At 47.5% G+C, this 24,051-nt stretch overlaps 1 protein-coding gene across 1 annotated transcript in view, besides 6 other annotated features; it reads right to left on the bottom strand.

Annotated features, from left to right (window-relative positions):
• Positions 1–24,051, bottom strand: part of ABTB2 (ankyrin repeat and BTB domain containing 2) — a 207,024-nt gene that overhangs the window by 85,679 nt on the left and 97,294 nt on the right. The window lies entirely within an intron of this gene.
• Positions 2,457–2,956: an enhancer, noted in NCBI's record as "H3K27ac hESC enhancer chr11:34260669-34261168 (GRCh37/hg19 assembly coordinates)". NCBI's record gives its function as "activates a minimal SCP1, AML or CMV promoter by ChIP-STARR-seq in primed H9 embryonic stem cells {active_cell/tissue: H9 hESC(primed)}" and the evidence as "EXISTENCE:reporter gene assay evidence [ECO:0000049][PMID:30033119]".
• Positions 3,681–4,180: an enhancer, noted in NCBI's record as "H3K4me1 hESC enhancer chr11:34261893-34262392 (GRCh37/hg19 assembly coordinates)". NCBI's record gives its function as "activates a minimal SCP1, AML or CMV promoter by ChIP-STARR-seq in naive H9 embryonic stem cells {active_cell/tissue: H9 hESC(naive)}" and the evidence as "EXISTENCE:reporter gene assay evidence [ECO:0000049][PMID:30033119]".
• Positions 5,345–6,544: an enhancer, noted in NCBI's record as "MED14-independent group 3 enhancer chr11:34263557-34264756 (GRCh37/hg19 assembly coordinates)". NCBI's record gives its function as "activates an origin of replication core promoter dependent on BRD2, BRD4, P300/CBP and CDK7 cofactors, and independent of MED14, by STARR-seq in HCT116 cells {active_cell/tissue: HCT116}" and the evidence as "EXISTENCE:reporter gene assay evidence [ECO:0000049][PMID:35650434]".
• Positions 6,737–7,408: an enhancer, noted in NCBI's record as "H3K27ac hESC enhancer chr11:34264949-34265620 (GRCh37/hg19 assembly coordinates)". NCBI's record gives its function as "activates a minimal SCP1, AML or CMV promoter by ChIP-STARR-seq in naive H9 embryonic stem cells {active_cell/tissue: H9 hESC(naive)}" and the evidence as "EXISTENCE:reporter gene assay evidence [ECO:0000049][PMID:30033119]".
• Positions 7,403–7,562: an enhancer, noted in NCBI's record as "active region_4600". NCBI's record gives its function as "activates an Ori minimal core promoter by ATAC-STARR-seq in GM12878 lymphoblastoid cells {active_cell/tissue: GM12878}" and the evidence as "EXISTENCE:reporter gene assay evidence [ECO:0000049][PMID:35858748]".
• Positions 14,517–14,811: a silencer, noted in NCBI's record as "tiled region #14004; K562 Repressive non-DNase unmatched - State 4:PromP". NCBI's record gives its function as "represses a minimal TATA promoter and a strong SV40 promoter by Sharpr-MPRA in K562 cells {active_cell/tissue: K562}" and the evidence as "EXISTENCE:reporter gene assay evidence [ECO:0000049][PMID:27701403]".

Raw genomic sequence — 24,051 nt, forward strand, 5'->3', positions numbered from 1 at the left:
GTGATTGAGATGCCGATACATCAGGCCTGTTAGCCAGGCCAGGAGGGAGACAGGAGGATAAAGAGACAAAGAACCGAGGAGGGTAGATAAACGAAATCGCATCAGCCGCAAAGCTGCTCGCTCCTAGATAGATTAGCACCTTCCTCTGCCCTAATCATTCCAGACAGCCTCTGCAGCTTGGGTGTGCCCAGCCATCTGGGAACCCTCAGGGATTCGGACTCTATTTTGGCAGCTATTATCTGTGGGGGAAATAATTCTCTCCTTGGTGAACCTCAAGTTTATGAGAAAGTTGAATGTATGCAAAAAGACAAAATCATTTAAACTGTACAAGGGAAGCAAGCTGTTTAGAAGTATTTTATGGAGTCGTGGCCAAGAGTAGGGGCTTTGGGGACAGAATATGTACCTCTGGATCATCTTGGACAAGTTACCGAACCCCTCTGTGTGTGTTGAGGTTTTCTCATCTGTAAAATGGAGCCCACAGTACCCACCTCTATCAGGTTGTTATGAAGATTAAATATGCAATAGATACACAGTAAACATTCCATACTGGGGGCTTTCATGCTTTCATACTGATTACCACGGCTGTGTCCTCGTGATTTTCCTGGATATTCTTTTTTTTTTTTTTTTTTTTTTTAGACCGAGTCTCGCTCTATTGCCCAGGCTGGGCAGTGGCGCCATCTCAGCTCACTGCAACCTCCACCTCCCAGGTTCAAGTGATTCTCCTGCCTCAGCCTCCCAAAGTGCTCGGATTTCAGGCGTGAGCCACTGCGCCTGGCCTTTCCTGGATATTCTGATTTCAAATTGTTTTCCTGTTATCTCCATAAATGAATTTGCCAGATTTATGATTATGATCAGAATATGGTCTTCTTAAAGGGTAGTCTCATTTTCTGAATCATTATTTGTATAAATCTGGACATTTCCCAGTTCAGGCTGGCTTCAGTAAGAACCCACTAAAGGCCAGGCTCACTTCTGTAATCCCAGCACTTTGGGAGGCCAAGGTGGGCAGATCACCTGAGGTCTGGAGTTTGAGACCAGCCTGACATGGTGAAACCCCATCTCTACTAAAAATACAAAAATTAGCTGGGCATAGTGGTGGGCGCCTATAATCCCAGCTACTTGGGAGGCTGAGGCAGGAGAATCGCTTGAACCTGGGAGGTGGGAAGTGGAAGTTGCAGTGGGCCGAGATCGCACCATTGCACTCCAGCCTGGGCAACAAGAGTGAAACTCCACTCAAAAACAAACAAAAAACGCTATGCCACCCACCACCACCCTGGACCACACTCTCACTAAGTCTTTAAATTGATACCCCATTTGCCCTGATGTGTGATTATTCATTGTATGCATGTATCAAAATATCTCATGTACCTCATAAATATATATACCTGCTATATACCCACAAAATTAAATAAATTTTAAAAAATATTTAAATTAGCTTCAAAGCCCTATATTATCTCCCATACTCCCAGCCTCTCTGGCTACCCACACTAGCTGCCTCCTTGCTGTTCTCAAACATGCTAGCCACAGGGCCTTTGAACTTACTGTTCCTTTTCCTGAAGTATTCCTTTCCCCTGGCATCTGCATGGCTAGGTCCCTCACGACCTTCAGGGCTTTTCCCAAATCTCTGACCTGTATTTGCCCACTTCCAGCTCTCCCTAGTCAGATTCTCTGCAATAACTTCTCCATAAAACTAACCATCAAATATATGATTCATTCTATTATTTTATTGCCTGTCTTCCCAAATACTATGTAATCTCCATGAGGGCAGGGCTTTTGTCTGTTTTATTCATTGCTATATTCTTAGTATCTAGCACAGTACCTGGGATACAGTAGGTACTCAATAAATATTTGTTGAATGGAGATGTGCCATGACTTATTCATGTGCATTTGAACAAATACCAATCCGGTACCTACCACGTGCCAAGTACTCAACATATATGAGCCATTAAGTCTTGCAACAGCCACTTTATAAATGATGAAACTAAGACATGGAAGCAGAGTGACTGGCCTGAGCTCACAGCCTGAGCTGGGATTCAAGCCTCGCTCTTTCCCAAGACTATTCTTTCCTTGTGTTTGATCCCATTAATCATCATTCTTTTTTTTTCTTTTGAGTCGGAGTCTCACTCTGTCGCCGAGGCTGGAGTGCAATGATGCAATCTCGGCTCACTGCAACCTTGGCCTCCCGGGTTCATGCCATTCTCCTGCTTCCGCCTCCTGAGTAGCTGGGACTACAGGCGCGTGCCACCACACCTGGCTGAATTTTTGTATTTTTAGTAGAGACGGGGTTTCACCATGTTAGCCAGGATGGTCTTGATCTCCTAACCTAATAATCTGCCTGCTTCGGCCTCCCAGAGTGCTGGGATTACAGGCATGAGCCACCACGCCCAGCCCACATTCTTTTTGTAATCTCTGACATCTGTTTTCCCTGCTGGATTAGAAGCTCCATGAAAGCCAGGACTGTCTGGGACCCAGGAGGTACCCAGTAAGTATCTGTGGGACGACAACACCTGATAAGGACCAGGGGTGGGAGGTGAAGTGGGCTCTGAGTGGATGATTCACTGTCTTGGCCTTTACGTAGCGCCTGGGTTTGTGCGCCCACCTCTGAGCTTGTCAGGGATGGATAATGCAGTCTACCCTGAGGCTGAGCCAACCAAGGCTTCATTGATGCTGCTGTCTTTTTTTAAATTTATTTTTTTTTGGAGACAGGGTGCCCCATGCTGGAGTGCAGTGGTATTATGATCACGGTTTACCTCAAACTCCTGGGCTCAAGCAATCCTCCTACCTCAGCCTCCTGAGTAGCTGAGACTGCAGACATGCGCCCCCAAGCCCCAGCTATTTTTGTATTTTTAGTAGAGGTGAGGTCTCACTATGTTGCCCAGACTGGTCTCGAACTCCTGAGCTCAAGTGATCTTCCCATCTCAGCCTCCCAAAGTTCTGGGATTACAGGTCTGAGCCACCACCCGGCCTGTCTCTGCCTTTTTTCTACCCCCACCCGGGGCTTTCTGCAAGCAAGACACAGCTATGCAAACAGACTGCAAGACAGGCCTTTCTGTGTAGCCCTGACTTGTACCACAGTACGAGGTAAGCCCTTTGACAAGAATCTACAGGGAACACTGACATTTGGGGGGCCAACTGCAGCTGTCACTCTGCCCCTCCCCCACCTCTTGACAAGGATCCACTGGAGACCCACTCCTGGCAGGAAGACATTCTAGTTCATTCAAATGGACTGTCTTCCCAAAAAAGCAAGGCATCTGTTTCCACAGAGGCATTTCCCCCCTAAATACTGGATAAAGAGCCAAGAGGCTGGGGACTGAATTATCACTTAATAGTCAGGTGGAGTTTCTTATTTCAGTTCCATAATCAATTTCCTCACCACAAAAGATAGTTAATGGACACAGAAGATTTGACAATTCATATGAAAATCATCATAACCACAACTGCTACTCATTATAGCCCATTTTTTTCCCCTGGGTTTCTGAGAACAGATGAGAAGAAAAAGGTTGTGTGTGCATTCCCCCCACTGCCCTCTTTAAAGTGTAAAGCCAAGAGAGCTCGCAAAGAATGCCCTCCTTCCCACAGTCACCGAAACTTTTCCATTTGATGAACCGTCTCCATCGGCTGGTGGTGACTGTGAAGCCAAGCGGCCAGCAGGAGCAGCTCAAAGCTGGAGGCTGCAATTCCAGGGAGTCTCGAGCGATCCACCTGGCCACTGCACAAGCTATGGCTTCACTCACTGAGTGGGGCCCCCAAGAAACGGCTTTGCTTCCTTCAGTGCTGCCCTGCTGCCTGACAAGGATCCCACCTGTCAGCACTGGGAAAGCCAGAAGCAGAGAAGATCTCCTAATAATTGACATCTGGGTTGCTCACCTCCAGTGCCCAGTTCTATCAAGAGGCCCCTGCTCCTGAGCACTTGGGCCGAAATCTTCATTCTCCTCCCCGCCTTTTTTTGAGATGGGGTCTCACTCTGTCACCCAGGCTGAAGTGCAGTGGTGTGATCTCGGCTCACTGCAACCTCCACCTCCCAGGTTCAAGTGATTCTCCTGCTTCAGCCTCCTGAATAGATGAGATTACAGGCATCCGCCACCACACCCAGCTAATTTTTTAAGTTTTTAGTGGAGAGGGGGGTTTCACCATGTTGGCCAGGCTGGTCTCGAACTCCTGACCTCAGATGATCCGCCCGCCTTGGCCTCCCAAAGTGCTGGGATTACAGGTGTGAGCCACCGTACCTGGCCTTCCCCCCTTTTTAGGTTATTTTTCTTCTTTTTAATTTTTTTTCTCTTTTGCCAAATTACTTCTCACACCTGAGAGAAGGGCTGAACTCTTCAGAGGCTGAGTTCACAGGGTTTTTAGGGCAAGGGGGAAAGGAAATGGGAGACTTTTTAGTCAAGCTGTCCTTTTTCTGTTTCGAGTTGCATTAGGGCATGGTGGCTAAAAGGAGGATTTGAGAGCCTGATGGTTTGAGTTCCAGTCTCAGCTCTAGCAGTTCCTGTGTGGCTTTGGGCAAATAATTTATTTTGACTCAGTTTCCTCATCTGTACAGCGGGAATAACAGATTACAGTAATCTCCATGGAAAGTTGTGTGGACTGAGTGAGTTAATATCACTGCTCCCAAGGCCTAAACGAGGGGAAAAGGAGAATGTCATTAAACATCCCCATGTGCGTTGAGAGAGCCAGGAAAGGGGGTGGGGAGAGGAGGTGACATTTAACCAGGGACAGTCCAAGGGTGCCCACCTCATCCTCTGGATTTCCAGCCAGAGGACATCTCTGTTGCCTGAGTACCACAAATGGGGTGAGGAAACAGGAGTGGAAGGAATTGAAAAGATGTAATGATCCACAGGGTATCTCTCCCAAGAGTCCAGGTTTGAGATGATGACCCAGCAGGACTGTTTTGCATTTCCCACATCCAGAGCTCCAATGCTGATAATTTATTGTTATTATTAAAAGACTAGCTGGCCATGATGGCTCAAGCCTGTAATCACAGCGCTTTGGGAAGCCAAGGCAGGAGGATCGCTTGAGCCCAGGAAATCAAGACCAGCCTGGGCAAGATGGCGAGACCCCCATCTCAATTTTCTTCAGAAGTTAACAAGATAATCCCCATCTTGTATTCACCTTTAGATAGAATGTAAAATTGGTTACCTTTTCATTCTAACATGTAAATGTTTCCCCCCTTCATCATCACTGAACCATATCAAGAATTTAGAATCTAAGGCTGAGTTTAAGTCAGAAACAGGCCACAGTCCCCAAGAGCTGCTGGGAACAGCTGGACTCTTCTGAAGGGTCTGTGAAAGTTCCACACATTGATTGAGCCTCCTGGCCCCTTGTTTGCTTCAACAAATGAAAGAAGCAAAATGCAGAAGCTGCGAGGAGATGGCTCGGGCCCTGCGTTGGAAATCTCTCTCCATGGCCACTGCCCACCTCAACTGTGCTATGGAGTTCCCCTCACTTCTGGGGCCCACAACAACTGCACAGAAGAGTGGGCTTTTGCCTTTTATAAATAAAGTCAAGATTCGGTCATGCTTGTGATGAGGCCTTCTGCCGCAGATCTGTGAAGTGCCTCTGGGTCACCCCTGAGTCAGACCTAGCCACACCCTCCTGATCTAAGGCCTTATCACTGAACCAAGAAGGCAGGAGGGTGGGAGCAAGGGGCCAGGAGGACAGCCAGTTCCCACCACGAGGACACCCAGACTACTCTAGGACTCCGGAAATCGTGGGGTCTGAGCTTTACATGAGATAGTGGCTGAAGGGAGCTTGGCACACAGTATCTGACACGCAGCCACAGGAGGGGCAGGGAGGTTGGTGATCCAGCACTTACCTCATCCTTGTCACGCGCCCCTGTATGTACCACCCCACTGAGCTGAGTGGCTGCTGGACCATGGCATTTTTGCCCGGCGATGGAGGGGGGTGGCTGAAGGAGTAGGAATGCTGTCAGAAAGTTCTAGAATAGTTGTAACTGCATTAACTCTGAGGGAAGAAGAGGCATTGGTATCCTAGGGGAGAAGAGGATTGTGGGGAAAAGAATGACCAGGTGGGGTCTTCCTGGTGTAAGGGTGTATGACAGATCTAACTAATCACCACAGGATGATGTCTCCTGGGCACTTATGTGGCATCAAGCTAAGTGGCTCATGCGGGCATTGCCTCAGCTAATCCTCAAAGTCTACAGGACAGGCACAGTCCTTGTCTTCATTTTCCAGAACAGGGAGCTGAACCTTAGAGAAGTCCAACAACTTAACCCAGTCACAGCTAGGCGGGAGGTAACCTAATGAGGACTTCACCTCAGGCCGGGCCTGAGGTAAACCAAAGCTGGGAGGAAGCTGGGTGTCTCTTGTGACAGGACCTCTCCCCTCCACAGCCCTGCCCACCTCACTGACAGTCCGAATCTGGGAGCCTGATAAGGAGGCTGAGGACTCCAGGAGGAAATGCCTGCCAGTGGAACTTTCTACCTTCCAAAGATCATCACACCCAAGATAACCATGGCTTCTTAAGAACACTGTAGGTGGGGAGAGGGTTCTTTATCTCTACACTGACCAGCAAAGAGACGTGTGAGAACAAGCAACCCATTTCAAATCTTGCTTCTGCACAAGGACTAGAGACTAGCCTGTTGACCTCTGGCAAATATATATATATATTTTAGATGGAGTCTCGCTCTGTCGCCCAGCCTGGAGTGCAGTGGCATGATCTTAGCTCACTTGAACTCCGCCTCCTGGGTTCAAGTGATTCTCCTGCCTCAGCCTCTTGAGTAGCTGGGATTACAGGCGTGAGCCACCACGCCCAGCCTCTGGCAAATCTCTTAACCCTACTAAACCCCACATTCCTCATCCATAACCCTGCCCCTCCTCCAACAACAGAAATCACTGACACTGCAAGCACCCTTGCTCCTGACATCCCACTTGATATCACCTTTGATCCGCAAGGATAATCCTAGAAAATATGTCCTAGTCTTACGCGATTTTACAGATTTATTATCTATCTGTGAAAATGGGAACAACAATATTGATTCTCTTAACTTTCTTGAAGAGTCAATGAGATCATTTACGGAATGTGCTTGGCACAGACTCAGTGAAAGATAAAAGCTTGAAGCCTATGGTTAGACCTAAGGTCAGCCACCCACCCAGACCCAGGACCAAGCCCTGAATGTCTAGAGCACGGTTCTTCGCAGACACACCCCAGCCCTGGGTATCAGCGTGGTGACTCAGCAGAGGGCATTCCACAGGCTTATAAAAAAGTTGTCTGGGAAAGCCCCACCTGACTGTGGCCAAGATCCCTCAGTACTCTAGAAGAGCAGGGGACCTGTCTGGAGAAAGGATAGGAATTTGAAGCTTTGTCTCTGAAGTCCAGAACTGCAAAACAGCCCCCCGCTGAAATTCACAAACCACTGTTTCCTTCAGTGCCTGTCCCAAGCTAGGCCCTGTGCTAGCCCTGGAGATAGAAAAGAGACTTGGTTCCCTTAGCAGCCAGCCTGGACTCAGCAGGCCAAACCTTCCCCAGGAGGGGGATGCTGACCTCTGGAGATGTTGCTGCTGACCAAGGGAGGTAATTGTTTCTTTAAAAAAAAAAAAATCACTTTCAGTTGTTAAATGAATAAACCACTCTAAAACACTTAGGAGATAAGAAGGCAATCTATCAGGACTCCCCTGACCTTTGAAAACTCAAAGTGAAAATGGAAGCAGGCCCAGGCTGACCGATAGTGGGAAAAGCAGATCAGCAGCAGTTTCACCACAATACAAAGAGACTGAAAACCCTGCACATTTTTAGCATGTGACTAGAATAATCCACATCAGGGCCCCTAGCACAAAATGCAGGACAATAAAATACGCAGAAAAACAGGGATATCTCATTGTAACTGAACGAGCACTTACTTGCTGCCTGCATTAAGCCTTTTATGAAGATCATTTCATTTAATTTCATTTACTCTTCCCCATGGTGAATAAGAGCTGGGCTTAGAGTTGTTGGCCTGGATTGTTCTAAATATTCACTCTCCCAACCCCCAATGTACTCGCTGTTTGACTTTGGGCACTTTGCTTAACTGCTTTAGGCCTCAATGTCCTCATCTATCAAACTGCGATTCTAGGGTCCCTTATAAGATTGTTGTAATCCCAGCACTTTGGGAGACCGAGGAGGGTGGATCACTTGAGCCCAGGAGTTCGAGACCAGCTTGGGTTACATGGCAAAACCACGTCTCTACCAAAAATACAAAAATTAGCCAGGCTTGGTAGTGTGTGCCTGTGGTTCCAGCTACTCTGGAGGCTGAAGTGGATGGATCGCCTGAGCCCGGGAAGTCAAGGCTGGATTAAGCAGAGATCACGCCAGTGCACTCCAGTCTGGATGACAGAGTGAGAACCTGTCTCAAAAAATTTTCAAAAAAAGAAAAAGATTGTTTTAAACACTAAATGAATAAATCTCCATAAAGCACTTGCCTTAGGATCTGGAACACAAGTCCTCCATAAATGCTGGCTACTATTATTATAATGGCTGATAACAGCCTCTGACTGACACATGCCTCATCTCTGTCTCACATACATTAAAACCAAAACTTCCAAGGTCAGAAGGGCTCAGGTTCAGCACCGTTTCCTCTCCAGGCTGCTGTGATATGCCTACCCCACCACACTGCCACCCTGGCGAGAGCTGAGGACCAGCACAGCCTCCTCCCCACTGAACTTTCCTTGCAGGCAGAGGGCTTTGGATTCTTTGGTTTTCCTCATGGAGGAAATCACCCCCTACAGCAAACCACCCAGGACCAGGTATCCACTTCCGGCATCTTTCTATGGAAGCCGACTGCAGACCAGTCTCAGGCAGTGCTTGGCTGTGCAAGTCCTGAGGCCTAATTCTCAATTATCTGAGGTGTGGAGACACCTGCGGCACTCACCAGACTAACTGGGTCTGGCATAGCAATTGATCTCTAGTTGTGTTGATTTTTGTGGATTTGCTTTTCTCCTCTGATCCAGATGAGGTGAGGGAAGGCATGAGATGAGCAGGAGCTGGTGTCTGGGTGGCTCACGGGGCTGCCACCTTCCAGACCACGGCACAGCCTGCTTCTGGGGCTCATACACTCTGATGTACCCTGGGGTCCCTTCCAAAGCATGGTGTTTCACAATGAAGGGAAATGGAAGCTCTTTGGTGGGCTGCTGCTTCCACACTGAGCACCAGTAGAGGTGAAAAGCCCATCTCACCAGCTCCAATCCAAAGCTGTCCCCAAAGTATCAGGAGCCACTGTGCTGTTCTAGACTAAATGGTAAACTGAGTAATAAACCCAGGCCTTGAAGCTGCAGCCACGGAAACACATGGGCCCCAGCAGGGGAGAGAGGCCCTCCTCATCCTGGGGCCACAAATATCTGTCACTCAGGGACTGGCTTTGCTGCCAGCTTCTAAAACGTTCAGGCCAATGCCTGGCACAAGCCCCTATAAGGATATGAGGGGCGTGGGGCCTGCTGGATCAGCCAGGAGACACACCTCTCATTCCTTTTCTCTCTTCCTAAAAGACAATTCTATTCAAAGGGAGACTCTTCTGCTGAACAAAAAAGTAACAACAAAATCCCCTCAGGCAATTCTGTGGGTTTCCTAAACCCACAGAGTTCAACAAAATTGGCCAAGGTTGGATAGGTTCTTATCCAAACTTCGATACAAGGGCTTTTTTGTTTGGTTTTAAAATGACAAATCTTGGGCTGGGTGTGGTGGCTCACGCCTGTAATCCCAGCACTTTGGGAGGCCGAGGCAGGTGGATCATCTGAGGTTGGGAGTTCGAGACCAGCCTGACCAACATGGAGAAACTCTGTCTTTACTAAAAATACAAAATTAGCTGGGCGTAATGGTGCATGCCTGTAATCCCAGCTACTTGGGAGGCTTAGGCAGGAGAATCGCTTGAACCCAGGAGGTGGAGGTTGCAGTGAGCCGAGATCGCACCATTGCACTCCAGCCTGGGCAATAAGAGTGAAACTCCATCTCAAAAAAAAAAAAAAAAAAAAAAAAAAGACAAATCTTGTCTCCCTGGACCTTTTTCTTGATATCTGTACTCTTCGCCATTTCAACTTGCTTTGAACCCTACCACAACAGAAAACCTCACATACTTCTTTAGGTGGTTTTTTCCAAAGTTCATACCTACACAAATGAGTTTCTTTGTATTGAGCCTCAGAATGCTCAACAAATCACTTTTTGCCAGAAGTTCCATTTCTTTTCTTTTTTTCTTTTTTCTTTTTTTTTTTTTTTTTGAGACAGAGTTTAACTCTTATCACCCAGGCTGGAGTACAATGGCATGATCTCGGCTCACCGCAACCTCTGTCTTCCGGGTTCAAGCAATTCTCCTGCCTCAGCCTCCCAAGTAGCTGGGATTACAGGCATGCACCAACATGCCCGGCTAATTTTGTATTTTTAGTAGAGACGGGGTTTCTCCATGTTGGTCAGGCTGGTCTTGAACTCCCAACCTCAGGTGATCCGCCCACCTCAGCCTCCCAAAGTGCTGGGATTACAGACGTGAGCCACTGCACCTGGCCCCCAGAAGTTCCATTTCTTAAGCTGGGCCAAGGCCTCTGGTGTGCAGCTGTCTTGGCCTGTTGGCTGGTGGAGCCACCGCTACAGGTTCCTCAGCTTAGTTCTCATGCCAGCACCACCCCCTCCCAAAGCTGCGAAGGAGGAATGCTGGAGACAGCTGGTCCCTGACTTATGATGTTTGACTTTACAGTGGTGGGAAAGCCATACACATTCAGTAGCAGCAGTACTTCAAGTACCCACACCACCATTCTGTGTTTCACTTTCAGTAATCAATAAGTTACATGAGATATTCAACACTTTATTATAACATAGGTTTTGGGTTAGATGATCTTGTCCAATTGTAGGCTAATGTAAGTGTTCTGAGCATGTTTAAGGTAAGCTAGGCTAAGCTATGACGTTCAGTAGGTTAGGTGTATTAAGTGCATTTTGATTTATATTTTCAATTTACAATGGGCTTATCTGGACATAACCCCATCTTAAGTCAAGGAGCATCTGTACATGTATTGAGGAGTCAAGGCCCAGCCAGGGCCAAAATGCAGGCCAAGAAATCTTAGCAAACCAATGACACCACCAATTATAGCAATAGCTGATACAGATTGTGCATTGACTACAAATCAGATACTCTGCTAAGCACTTCACATGTACCATTTCATTTAAACCTCCTATGAGAAAACATTTAAACAACTCTATGAGAAAAGTAATTATCGGCACCATTTTGTACATGAGGAAATCGGTTCAGAGGCATAAAGGAGAAAGACACATATCTGTTGGGCATTTATGTCTTAACTCGAGGAAGAAGGCATGTATATGCTGTGTATTACACAAGCACAGGGAGAAAGAATAGCTACACCTGGTGGGCAAGGTCCTTGCTCAGCTTATGGATCCACTGTGGGAAAACCCAAAGGGAACACCAGGTAGCAATCATTCAATTTACTTATCTATAATTTTTCTTAAAAAAAAAAAAAAAAAAAAAAAAAACAGGGTCTTGCCCTGTCACCCAGGCTGGAGTGCAATGGCACAATCATAGCTCACTGCAGCCTTTGGGCTCAAGTGATCCTCCCACCTTAGCCTCTCCAGTAGCTAGGGGAGGCTTGCACCATCATGCCCAGCACATTTTTAATTTTTTTGTAGAGGGTGGGGGATCTCATTTGTAGCCCAGGCTGGTCTCAAGCTCCTGGCCTCAAGTGATCCTCCCATCTCAGCCTCCAAAAGTGCTAGGTATGAGCCACTGTACCTGGCCTCTGTTCATTTTTTAAAGGGTTAACTACCAGTTTCCTATTAAACAAACAAACAAACAAACAAAAAAAACCCTTCCTTACTACCTTTAATTATGACTTCATTTCCATTCTACATTCCTAGAAACCAGGAAGGCTATTACTGAAAGTAGGAATTTAAAAAGCAGAAAGTAAAGTGGATTACAGCCTGATCCATTTCAGGGGTGATTCTGCCTTCAGAGGAAAACCAAAGGTACTGTTTGGGCCTTTGATGTGGTCATAACACCCTCCCCTCAGCTTCCTTAAGAACGTAAAACAAGTTAATTAGTTCACAAGTGTGGTTTTCATAAGTGAACACAAACATACAACTTTTCAAAGCAGGACACATTGAGGTTGTGGGTATTTCAACTGCCAAATCTATGGGAGCAGTCACAATCTGATGTCTAGTAAATACAGGAAAACTATCACACACTGCATAAAGGCATACCACAGCCGGGCGCGGTGGCTCACGCCTGTAATCCCAGCACTTTGGGAGGCCAAGGCGGGCCGATCACCTGAGGTAGGGAATGCAAGACCAGCCTGACCAAAATGGAGAAACCCTGTTTCTACTAAAAATACAAAATTAGCCGGGCGTGGTGGCACATGCTGTAATCCCAGCTACTCAGGAGGCTGAGGCAAGAGATTCGCTTGAACCAGGGAGGCAGAGGTTGCAGTGAGCCGGGATCGTGCCATTGCACTCTAGCCTGGGCAACAAGAGCGAAACTCTGTCTCAAACAAACAAACAAAATGAAAGACACTCGCAACATGAATTTGCAAGTGGTCATGACTTGCACCCTCGTGAATGCGCAGCCTTGAGGGGAGCTGGGGTCAATGGGACCACCACTGAATCAATGACTGAAGCTCATGCCTTTAAGGACAAGCTTCAGAATCTGGCCCTGAACTGCAACTGTGGTCAGTGTAGGACGATATATGTATTAATGAAAAAGTTGGCAAGAAGTGGTGAAATAATAGCTTCACATAAAAATATCCAGAGCTGGCTGCAGGTTCTACAAAAGCAACAGCCGTAAAGTAGCTTTGACAAGAATATCCCCACCAAGGCTTCTCAAATAGTAGAAAGCACTTGGGGAATATCCTCTAGTACAATAGGGCCTAGAATGTTTACAAGAGGGCAGGCCTCCTGGCAGGTCATTTCATGACCTTCCAGAAAGGGGGAGGTCATTTGAGCTTGACCCCACTACCCCACTTGAACATCTAACTCGGAGCTTTGTCCCAGTTAAGTAAATATATGAAATGTCTTTTCTTTGTTGTTAGAGTCTTGCTCTGTTGCCGAGGCTGGAGTGCCGTGGTGTAATCACAGCTTACTGCAGCCTTGAACTCCTGGGTTCAAGTGATCCTCCTGCCACAGCTTCTGAGTGGCTGGGACTACAGATGTGCCACCATGCCTAGCTAAGTAAATATTTCTTCAGCATCCATCACTCTATAACATCAGGAGGGCTGAAGAAGCCCAGTTCACAGTCCTGTTCTCACAAAGCTTGTGGCCTGGCTGTGAAATGAGACCTTGCTGGTATAGAGTGGTCTACATGGCTCTGGCAGAATAACCCCAATGGTGCTCAGTGACTATAAAAGCATCCCTGGGGATCTGGTGACACCTTGAGCTGGTCCTGGAAGATAGAGCTGGGAAACTCAGGCAAAGATTGATAGGAGTTGGGATTCTAGGGAGGAGCCAAGGCAGAAAAGCACAAGCTGCCTTGGAACTGAAAGAACAGGGGTCTTGGAGAGCTGGGTGTTCTAAGAGCACAGAGGAGGGAAGGCTGGCAAGGTAGATGGAGGCTGAGGGTATCTAGGCATTAAGGACCTTGTATCTTCTGGCAATAAGTAGACATTGAAGGTTTCAGTGCAAGAGCAGGGGCAAATGAAGACTCCCCAGTTCTTCTTAAGGGGCCATAAGAGTCCTCTAGTACAACCAGACTGCAATCTGTAGGGCCAGGGAATCATCCCCAGCACCCATGAAGATGTCTGGCATGTAGTGCATATGCAATAAATACTTGCTCAACAAAGTGACGATAAATGTGAATCTTGAAATCTCTTCCTTCCTTGCCCAAATAGCTTAGTTTCTCATGGGAGAAAACAAGTGGAATTTATTGACATCAAATGGCAGGGTTGTGGCCAACTGCAACAATTTTTCAAACAAACCCTAGGATAAGCTTTCTGCAGAAACAGAGATAAAACTTCATCCTGAAAGAGGAGCGATGCATGTGGAAAGTGAACAGACATGGCAGAAAGACGCTTCATCATTCTAGTCTCCAGAGCAATTCCTCCCAATCCTCAGAAGCCTTCACTAAGTTTCCCTCCCTGAGAGAGAGAGCACCAACCCCAAACTTCTTTCTGCGGCTACAAATGCTCTGCTCCCTCTAATAAAGCTAAAGTTGCCATTACTGAGATCCTACCAGGTGTGTAAGGCACTTTGCAAATTACCTTCTGCCTATTTAATCCTCAGAATAACTAGGGGGGTAGAAACCATCATTGCCATTTTACATATGAGAAAACCGAGGTTCAGAGAGGTTAAGTAACTTGCCCAAGGAAGCACAGCTAGTTAAAGGCAAAGCAAGACTCACATCCAGGTCTGTCTGCCATCAAACATGTGTTTTTACCCCTATATTTACTCCTCCTTCTGATCTCTCAGGCTACACCCATGGAGTTGGCAGGTAGAAGCTGGTGGGCTAAGAGATAAATCTTCTACCCTGGCTTCTTAATAGGGGCTGGCCTGGCTGTTGTAAAGGGGAAGTAGGAGGAGCCTCTCAGAGGCAAGGAGAATGGCTCCTCCCATATTCTGTGACAACCAACACCAAAATAGAGCGGGTGAGGCTGCCCATGGGCGTGGGCTCTGCACCCTGATTTCAGAGGGCATCACTCAGCTGTGAATCATGCCTTAGTGACAGGCAAGGAGCCTGCTCAGACAGCGCTGACACTGATTCTGCTCTGGCTGAGTGACAGCCCCAGGGGAAGAGGCGGGGCTCATCTCCAAAGGGGGACCACACAGAGAAATACAGCCAGAAACACAGCTCCCGACACTGTCTCAGGCACCAGTGAAATGCTAGGGTGGCTGGCTCTGTTAAAGGGACCCTGTCCTCCTCCTTCCCCTGGGCCAACTGTTGACCGGTGTCCATGCCATGCCCAGCAGGATGTCAGCTATGCTGGGGGAAGCCGCGCACTCTCTGAGCTATAAGAGAGTACATGGAGGGTTCTTTACTTTCTCTCATTATCTGACGTGCATTTGTGTAAGACTCCTGAACTTTTTTTTATTTGCTGGGACCAGGTGCAATGCAAAAAGGTGAGTATGTTCTTCAAGTCAGAGCACTACACAGATATAAGGAATTACAGTAAAGAAAGTTAAAATGGAGTGGAGGACACAACTGTTCCTCAGGAAACAACTAAAGCAGAATGTGAGGCTATCTACAGAGACATGAGGAGTGATTCACCGCAGACTAAAAAAACAGGAGCTTGAACGATAGAAAAAGATCCAAATCATTCCTGGTATTGTTTTCCTCTTGTGCTCACTGGAAATCTGCAGCCAGTGGAGGAGACTTTCCTCACCCAGTCCCATCCTGGGAGTCACAGTGTTTAGGGCACTCAGGGATCTAAGCTGCCAAAGTCAGCCCCACCCCACTCCCATCCCCTCCACCCAGGGGCTTGCAATCCCAGGGAAGAGGAGAGTTTCATGAAAGCTGCAAAACTCACAGCAAGGCCCGGATGGTGGTTCGGAGTTCATGCTCCAGGGGTTCATGAGGCTGAGCTGAAAGGAAGTCACCTGACACAGCATGAGCCCCCACACCAGAGCTGGCCAGAGCCCCACGACTCCATGCCTGGGAAAGCCGTGGCAGGAGTGACAGCGAGGAGGCCAGATGCACGAGCCTCTTCCTGAACCATCGCATCTCCCCACTTCCTATCAGCCTTTTCTTTGGACTGGCCCCATCTCTTCCCTGGCTTGGGGCTGACTTCCCTTTAGGAATAGGTGTCTTTGGAGCATCCAGGCAGCTGATAATGACCACTGCTTAACCAGCCCTCCTCAGTCACAGGGGGAGAGTGCCATCTGGACATCATGACCTCCCCACCACCGCTGGGCATGACCCTAAGAGAAAGACTAGATTCCTAACCTGTGCTAGGGCATCTCCTGTGCCACTCCCCCAACCCTCCAACCTGCCTGAAAGAGAGGAGAGCAGGGAGAGAGAATGGGGGGAAGGGTGGGGCCAGGAGGGGGATTGGGAGACAGCCTCCTGGTCCTGGTCCAGCACCTTCCTGAGGCTTAGAAGCTCTCCTGCCCTGGGGCTCCCCTACTTCAAATAATCCTCTCCTGTCTTATTTTCCACCTTCTACTCAAACATGTTTTTATAACGTGCAACCACCAGAGACCTCCCTAACCTAGTACCAGGGCCAACTGGACTCCCAGCTGGGCCAGAGGAGGCTGGGGGACCTCCTGGGAGCTTGGACACCTGGGCCTCTCCTGCCCAACCCAGGTGGCTGTCACCTGGCCTGCACATGGCTCAGGGCCCGATTCCACCCCTCCACCCCCAGGAGGAAGAGCTGCTTTGGCAGCTGCCCTTGGTGGAGAAACCTACGTGTGCTAGCCCCTAGGTCCCCTCTTCTGTTTTCCAGCAAATCCCCATCTCCACCTGGGAAAGGCTCAGTCCAAGTGATCTCCTCAATGCTCCTCCCAGAGGATGGCAAGGCTGCTCTATGCCACACCAGAAGCCCCAGCTCCTCCAGGTGGAAAGCACAGGAGAGTCTGGGAGAATCTCCACCCCCTTCTCCCATCTCACACCCGTCCCTGGGTCACTTGCCATCTCCACAGGCCCAGAGGCCTCACCTGGGCCAGAAGACACACTAGAGGCCTGGGATTCTTCTCTCTTCTTCCTTCAGAGTGACAGGGAGCACTGTTCATGTCGGCAACTCCTGTGGCCCCTGCCCTGTTGCAGACAGACCTGCACAGCTCTGAGAAGCCAGCCCCACTCATTAAATTAATTAAATTCCTGCTTTCAAGGCTGGGCACAGTGGCTCATGCCTGTAATCCCAGCACTTTGGGAGGCCAAAGCGGGCAGATCACAAGATCAGGAGTTCAAGACCAGCCTGGCCAGCATAGTGAAACCTCATCTTTACTAAAAATACAAAAATTAGCCAGGCATGGTGGCACACTCTTGTAATCCCAGCTACTCGGGAGGCTGAGGCAGGAGAATCCCTTGACCCCGGGAGGCGGAGGTTGCAGTGAGCAGAGAACGTGCCACTGCACTCCAGTCTGCGCAATAGAGCGAGATTCCGTCTCAAAAAAAAAAAAAAAATTTTTTTTTCAGGGGAACCTACCAGGGAGCCACAGAGGAAGCAAAATGTCTGTAGTTATTGCTGCTTTTTCCTGCCTGGGCACAGTGTCCTCTCCTCCTTCATTACCTGCTGGAAGGGAGCAAAACTCTTCATTCTCCCAAGGAAGGGATCTTTCTCTGGTATGCAGGGCACTGAAGAGAAAACTTCCTTGTTTGGCCCTTGAGCTTAAAACTACCATGTCCCCCTCTCCAATCCTCCCTCAGTGAAGTTCGTGGGTCTCTCCCCAGGTGGACCGTGAGAGCACTGGCCATGTAGATTTGTAGTTTCCTATGTGGTACAGCAGTGGCAGTGTAACAGTACCCACAGCTTAATAAGTCATGACTTAAACGACTTAAGTCACTTGAGCACTTATCAAGGCCAGATACTGAGTCAAATGCTTTGCAGACACTATTTTATTAAATCCTCACAACAACACCATAAGGAAGGTATTATTACCCCCATTTGTACTGCAGAATCTCTTCCATGACTGTAAACTCATAAACTCGTGTTCTTTCTGACACCGAGAAATAAAGGGAAGCTTTTTGATTTTTTTTTGAGACAGACTTTCACTTTATCACTCAGGCTGGAGTGCAGTGGCATGATCACAGCTCACTGCAGCCTCAACCTCCCAGGCTTAAGCGATCCTACCACCTCAGCCTCCCAAGTAGCTGGGACTACAGGCATGTGCCACCACACCTGGCTAATTTTTGTATTTTCTTTTTTTGTAGAGAGGAAGTTTCATCATATTTCCCAGACCGGTCTCAAATCCTGGGCTCAAGTGATCCTCCCACCTCAGCCTCCCAAAGTAATGGGATTTGAGAGCCACCGTGCTCGGCCAATGGAAGCTTTTATTAAAACCTGTTTCCTTACATTCATGTATGGTGGTACTGCTGAATATGGTAGCCACTAGCCACATGTGGTTTTTGGGCACTTAAAATAAGGCCAGTGAATATTAGAAACTTTTTTTTTTTTTTTTTTTGAGACAGAGTCTTGCTCTATCGCCCAGGCTGGAGTGCAGTGGTATGATCTCGGCTCACTGCAACCTCTACCTCCCAGGTTCAAGCGATTCTCCTGCCTCAGCCTCCCGAGTAGCTGGAATTATAGGCACTTGCCACCACACCTGGCTAATTTTTGTATTTTTAATAGAGACAGTGTTTCCACCATGTTGGCCAGGCTGGTCTCAAACTCCTGACCTCAAGTGATCTGCCAGCCTCACACCTCTGAGATTACAGGTGCGAGCTACCATGCCCAGCCCTGATTTTATTTTAATTAATTTAAATGTAAATAGCCACATATGGTTAGTGGGTACTATACCGGACAACAAAGGCATAAAGCCAAATTTTGCACAAATTACTTCCATCCATACCATATCATTCAATGTTCACAACAAGCAAACAGAGCACATTTATGCCATTTACAGATGAGAAAACTGAAATTCAGAGATCTGGCTCAAGCTGAATCGGATTAAGCACTTCACTCTCTAAACTCCTAAACTATTTCCATTGTGTGATCTTCTCCTAAACTTGACCTCTAGCCTAAGGGCCTAGAGTAATTGTCCTGCCCAGGAGCCCTATCAGGATCCACATCACTTTCTCACCTTTCCCCTCAACTCTGGGAAGTAAAAGGAAGGAATGCACCCAGCAGAGAACGGTACAGACAGCCCATGGCAGGGATCTCCTCAGATCAAAAAGGACAAGGTGCTCAGGATTCAAAATCCTTTAAGCTGCTCCATGGTTCTAAGTTATATTTCTAAAAATTAGAAAAGTGAGTCAGAAATTAAAAACTTCTTTTTTTTTTTTTGAGACACAGTCTCGCTCTGTTGCGCAGGCTGGAGTGTAGTGGCACAATCTCAGTTCACTGCAACCTCAAGCGATTTCAACTTCAACTCAAGTTCAACTTCAACTTCAAGCAATTCTTGTGTCTCAGCCTCCCAAGTAGCTGGGACTACAGGTACGTGCCACCACACTTGGCTAATTTTTATATTTTTGTAGAGACAGGGTTTCACCATGTTGCCCAGGCTGGTCTTGAACTGCTGAGCTCAAGTGATCCGCACGCCTCGGCCTCCCAAAGTGCTGGGATTACAGGCGTGAGCCACCAGGCCCGCCCAGAAATTAAATACATTTTTTTTCCCCTCCTCTACCGGTCTTATCCGAGGAGCCATAAAAATAGAGGGGGAGAAATGTGATCCCACAATGGCCTCAAGGACATTCCAAATGTCTTCTTAAGTAAAACCCAACTCCTGATCATTTCCTTTCGGGCATCACTACCCAGCCCAGTTTTCAGGACATCAGCATTCAGTCCAAAATGGTGCAGAACCCACTAGGTGGAGATTAAGTCCTCACAAAACACCCTGGCACTAGCCCAACACCTATTTCTGTTCCTGCGTAAAATCCAACCAAAGAGTCTCAGCAACTGTGTTGTCCACACTGCCGTCGGTTTTATCATCTACTTGTGGGGGGTGGGGCGGGGGGCACCTAGAGACAAATAAATCACACGAGGAACAGTCAGATGGAAAACATAAACTTAATAAAACACAGACAGAAAATAAACCACTGGCCCAGCCACTAGTGACCAGTGCAATGTTGTCTTTCTCCCCCCTCCCTTCTGGTCCCTGGTGAATGCCCCCTAATTCTGGGAAAGGCTCCCTTTCGTCTTCTGAGTCAGTCTTGAAGGAATACTGCAGTATTTCAGCCTTGGGTTTCTAGCAGAGAAACAAACCCGGTTTTGTCATATAATTTTCTGCACCTCCACTGAAATAACACATCATTTGTGGATCCGTGCTAAAGCAAACACCATATGGTGGCTGTGTAAAAAGCTGTCCGGGGTTCTGACCTTCCAGTTGTAGGGGGTTTGTTTGGGAAAAGAAGCCAGGGTTGGGGGAGAATCAAGTCGCTAATGAGACATGGTGTCGGCAACCTGTACAGTGTGACATTTGGGGGCTTGGTGGAGGACGAGGTTGGTGTCAGGTTCCAAACACTCAAGGCAAAATCACCAATGACTTTTTTGTTTCCCAAGTGAAAAATGGTTCATGAAGTCTATTTTCCCAGTCTCTTATCTCAACACTCACGCTCTTTCACTCCGGAGGGGACGGACGGAGAGCCACAGGCTAACCAAGAGGAAAATTACAACCTAAAAAATCTTGCTGGCAAATTCTCCGTTTTGTGGACTGTCATGGCTGTGCAGCTGCAAGGATGAGACAGAGTTTGTCCTGTCTCTGGCCAGATTTCTTGAGTTGCTCTGAACTGCTACCCAACCAGGGCTCATCTACACACAGAGCCACTCATAGTAGTCAAATGCCTTCTGAGCAGCTTAGCTGGTAAAACACAAACTTATTTAAGAAATATTAAAGTTCTGAATATACAGTGCAACTTCATTATTCCTCACACATGAAATGACCCCAAGTGTTAGTACAAATAGCAGGTGGCCTATGGTCCGATGAAGTGGGCTTGTTATGAAGATAGGTCTTAATACCAACCTCTGAATTCTGACTTGTCCATTCAGAACACCATGGTGGAAAAAATGAAAAGAAAATGAACCCAAGAGCCACACGTGGCTCAGGAAGATGTGGCTCTATGGCAGCAGAGAAGGAAGAAAAAGCGACTGCAGCATTTAGAATTGGTACTTATCAAAAGCAACCCAGAGCGCCACATCTCCAGGAGGCCTCTAAGAGGTGAAGGTGGAGGAGAGTTTTTACACTAGAAACGGGCACAGAACCCAGCCAAGGAAAGAGAAGGCTTGCCATCATATACTCAGATGAATCAGGTAGCCTCTAGAACTTTCTGTAATGGTGACAGTGCTCTGTATCTGTGCTGTCCAACACAGTAGTCACTAACCCACACAATCATCGAGCATTTGAAATGCAGCTAATACGACTGAGGAGTGACTTCTTTTTTTTTGAGACAGGATTTCGCTCTGTTGCCCAGGCTGGAGTGCAGTGGTGCAAACATGGCTCACTGCAGCTTCGACCTCCTGGACTCAGGCATTGTCCTATGTCAGCCTCCTGAGTAGCTGGGGCTACAGGCGTACACCACCACATCTGGCTAATTTATTTTTATTTTCTGTAAAGATAGGGTCTTGCTATGTTGCCCAGAATGGTCTGAATGGTCTCAAACTCCTGGGCTCAAGCAATCCACCTACCTCACCCTCCCAAAGTATAGGGATTACAGGCGTGAGCCACTGCACCTGGCCTTGAGGAGATATTCTCTACCTAGGGGTTGTTAATAATCACATGGACCCACCTAATCCCTCCAAAGCACATCCCAATCAGTCACAGGCCATGCTACCCCAGTCTCCCTGAGTCCCCAGCCCAGAGTCCCTCAAGGAGGCAAGGCCCAGGCAGGGGCAGCAGAGCCTTCAGGCAGTTCTCTAATGACCCCTGCAACTCCACTGTCAGGACCCGCCTCAATAACTCCAATCTGTGTTGTCCCCATAGAAATCTCAGGATTAAGGGTCCCAGGGCATACTTTATGGATTGTGATGTTGGCCTATAAACTTTGTGTCACTGATCCCAACAGTTCTCCACTATTACTGTGTATCCCTCACAGGTTTTCCCCACAGGTCATTTGAATATGGAATGACAATTTACAAATATCTATCCCACTTCATTTTTTTTTCCCTTTAATCCTCACAGTGAGAGAGAGGTAAGAGGAGGTACCATCACACCTGTCTTACAGATGAGAAATACCCCTGTCAAAGATTTACAGAGATGGAATTAATGACACAATAGTAGACTGAAGACAATCCAGTGTTGCTCTAGGCAACTTATTTAACTTCTCAGTGTTTTGGTGCCATCTATCAAATGGAAACAGCAGTAGGAATTGCCTCTTAGAGTTGTGAGTTAAAATATGCACAGTCCTTAGAACTGTGCCTAGTGAGCACTACAGAAGTGCCTGCTCTTTTTTTTTTTTTTTTTTTTTTTGAGACGGAGTCTTGCTCTTGTTGCCTAGGCTGGAGTGCAGCAGGGCGATCTCAGCTGAATTCAACCTCCACCTCCTGGGCTCAAGCAGTTCTCCTGCCTCAGCCTCCTGAGTAAGGCACCTGCCACCATGCCCAGCTAATTTTTGTATTTTTAGTAGAGACGGGGTTTCACCATGTTGGCCAGGCTGGTCTCAAACTCCTGACCTCAGGTGATCTACCTGCCTCGGCCTCCCAAAGTGCTGGGATTAAAGGCGTGAGCCACTGTGCCCAGCCAGAAGTGCCTGCTCTTGTTAGGGAAGTGTAGTACATATGCGTGTGGTAGTGGTGGGGCATATCACTTTATATTTATATACCTGGTTGTTTTTCACCTGCTGTTCTGCTCACATTATGCTATGTGTGAGGATTGAACATTTATTTGCTTGGTGAAGTCTAAGTGTTCAATGTATGTTTGCTGCTATTGTTAATTCTTGCTGTTGTTACTGTTACTGTTGCAATTGTTCTTGGGGTCAGGCTTGTTAGCATTTTGGTCTAATAGCCCAGGTATGTCTCTCCACCCTAGTCCGCCCTCTGCTCTCTGCCTGTCCTCCACAGTGAGGTCATAAGCTCATGTGTCTGGCCTGGGCTTTTGCTAGTCAGCACCACCAAGTCTGAACGAGGCCTGGCAGGGCAGATCAAACAACTCTGGTTTGAATTAAGTGTGGTGATTTTATAGCAGGAATAAAGCAGGGAAGATAAGGGAGGAAATGTACCCAGCAACCCTAAGCTCTTAAAAGTAGTTTGGGGAATAGGTAAGAACCACCACAGAAACTTGCAAACGATGAACAGATTTTTGTTTTGTGGAGAATGAAGAGGAAATGCAGAACTCTATGGAAATTCTCCCCTACTCAGCTCCCCTCCTTCTCAGAAATAGTCAGGTATTCTCCTCTGGGTGATATAGAAGTTCAGCCTTTCCTTGACTTTCAGATCTGTGGGGTATCACTGTCTCTTTCTCTCCCTTTCAGCAGCTGGGATCTGGCCTGCAGCCTTAAAGAAAGGTGACCGGTTACATTAATCAGAAATATAACCTATCAATGGCGTTTCAAAACTGGCTGGATCACATTCATAGCTGTCCTCAAATGCTTAGCACCCCTAGAAAACTAGGACTAGTCAACAAATCCCAGAGACCTTCCCCTAAATAAACTTTATTATTATTATTATTTGAGACAGGGTCTCTGTTACCCAGGATGAAGCGTAGTGGCATAATCACAGCTCATTGCAGCCTCGACCTCCTGGGCTCCAGCAATCCTCCTACCTTAGCCTCCCGAGGAGCTGAGATCACAGGTGCACACCACCACACTTGGCTAATTTTTTATTGTATTTTTTCTAGAGGTGGGGTTTTGCCATGTTGCTCAGGCTGGTCTCAAACTCCTGGGCTCAAGCAATCTGCCTGCCTCGGCCTCTCAAAGTGCCAGGATTATAGGCATGAGCCATTACGCCTGGCCTAAATGAAAAAGAAAATCTCTGCTAAATGTAAAGTAAGGCTCTGGAATAATTGCTTTCCTGGGTGCCCTGCCTAAGTACAAAGAGGACAGAAGTGTACCCACCGTTCAGCGCTTGGAGGCTTCTCGCCATGAAATCCCCAAGGGCCCTGAGAGTCAATGAGGAACGTGATCAAGTGGAACAGGGAGAAGCAAGCTGAATACAAAATGAAGATTTTCTGAATTCAATAACCCATCTGATCCTAGCTGATAAAGTACCTGCACTCTGCAGGGCGGAGGGCTGTGTACTGCCTCCTGAATAATAAACACAGAAGGTCCCAACCGCTGATCACGGTGTAATTCAATGAGGGGTCTCTGAAGAGGACATGTCAGCACACACTGCAGTGCAGGGCTCTGAAAAGGCAGCGGAATCCCCAGATAGAGTTACTCCTCGGGATGTTGTCTAGAAACACACAGCTACCTCCTTCAAAGGATAAATTGTATTGATAAGGGATTAATAGTTTTTCTTAAATGGACATTTGGTCTGGGATAGCACCATTGGAAGAATTCTGAAACGCTTATCTCACAGGTTTTCTTAAAGCATCCAATCGGTACCCCTCATTTTACAGATG

This window comes from Homo sapiens, chromosome 11 (assembly GCF_000001405.40).
Source record: "Homo sapiens chromosome 11, GRCh38.p14 Primary Assembly".
Lineage (NCBI taxonomy): Eukaryota > Metazoa > Chordata > Mammalia > Primates > Hominidae > Homo > Homo sapiens.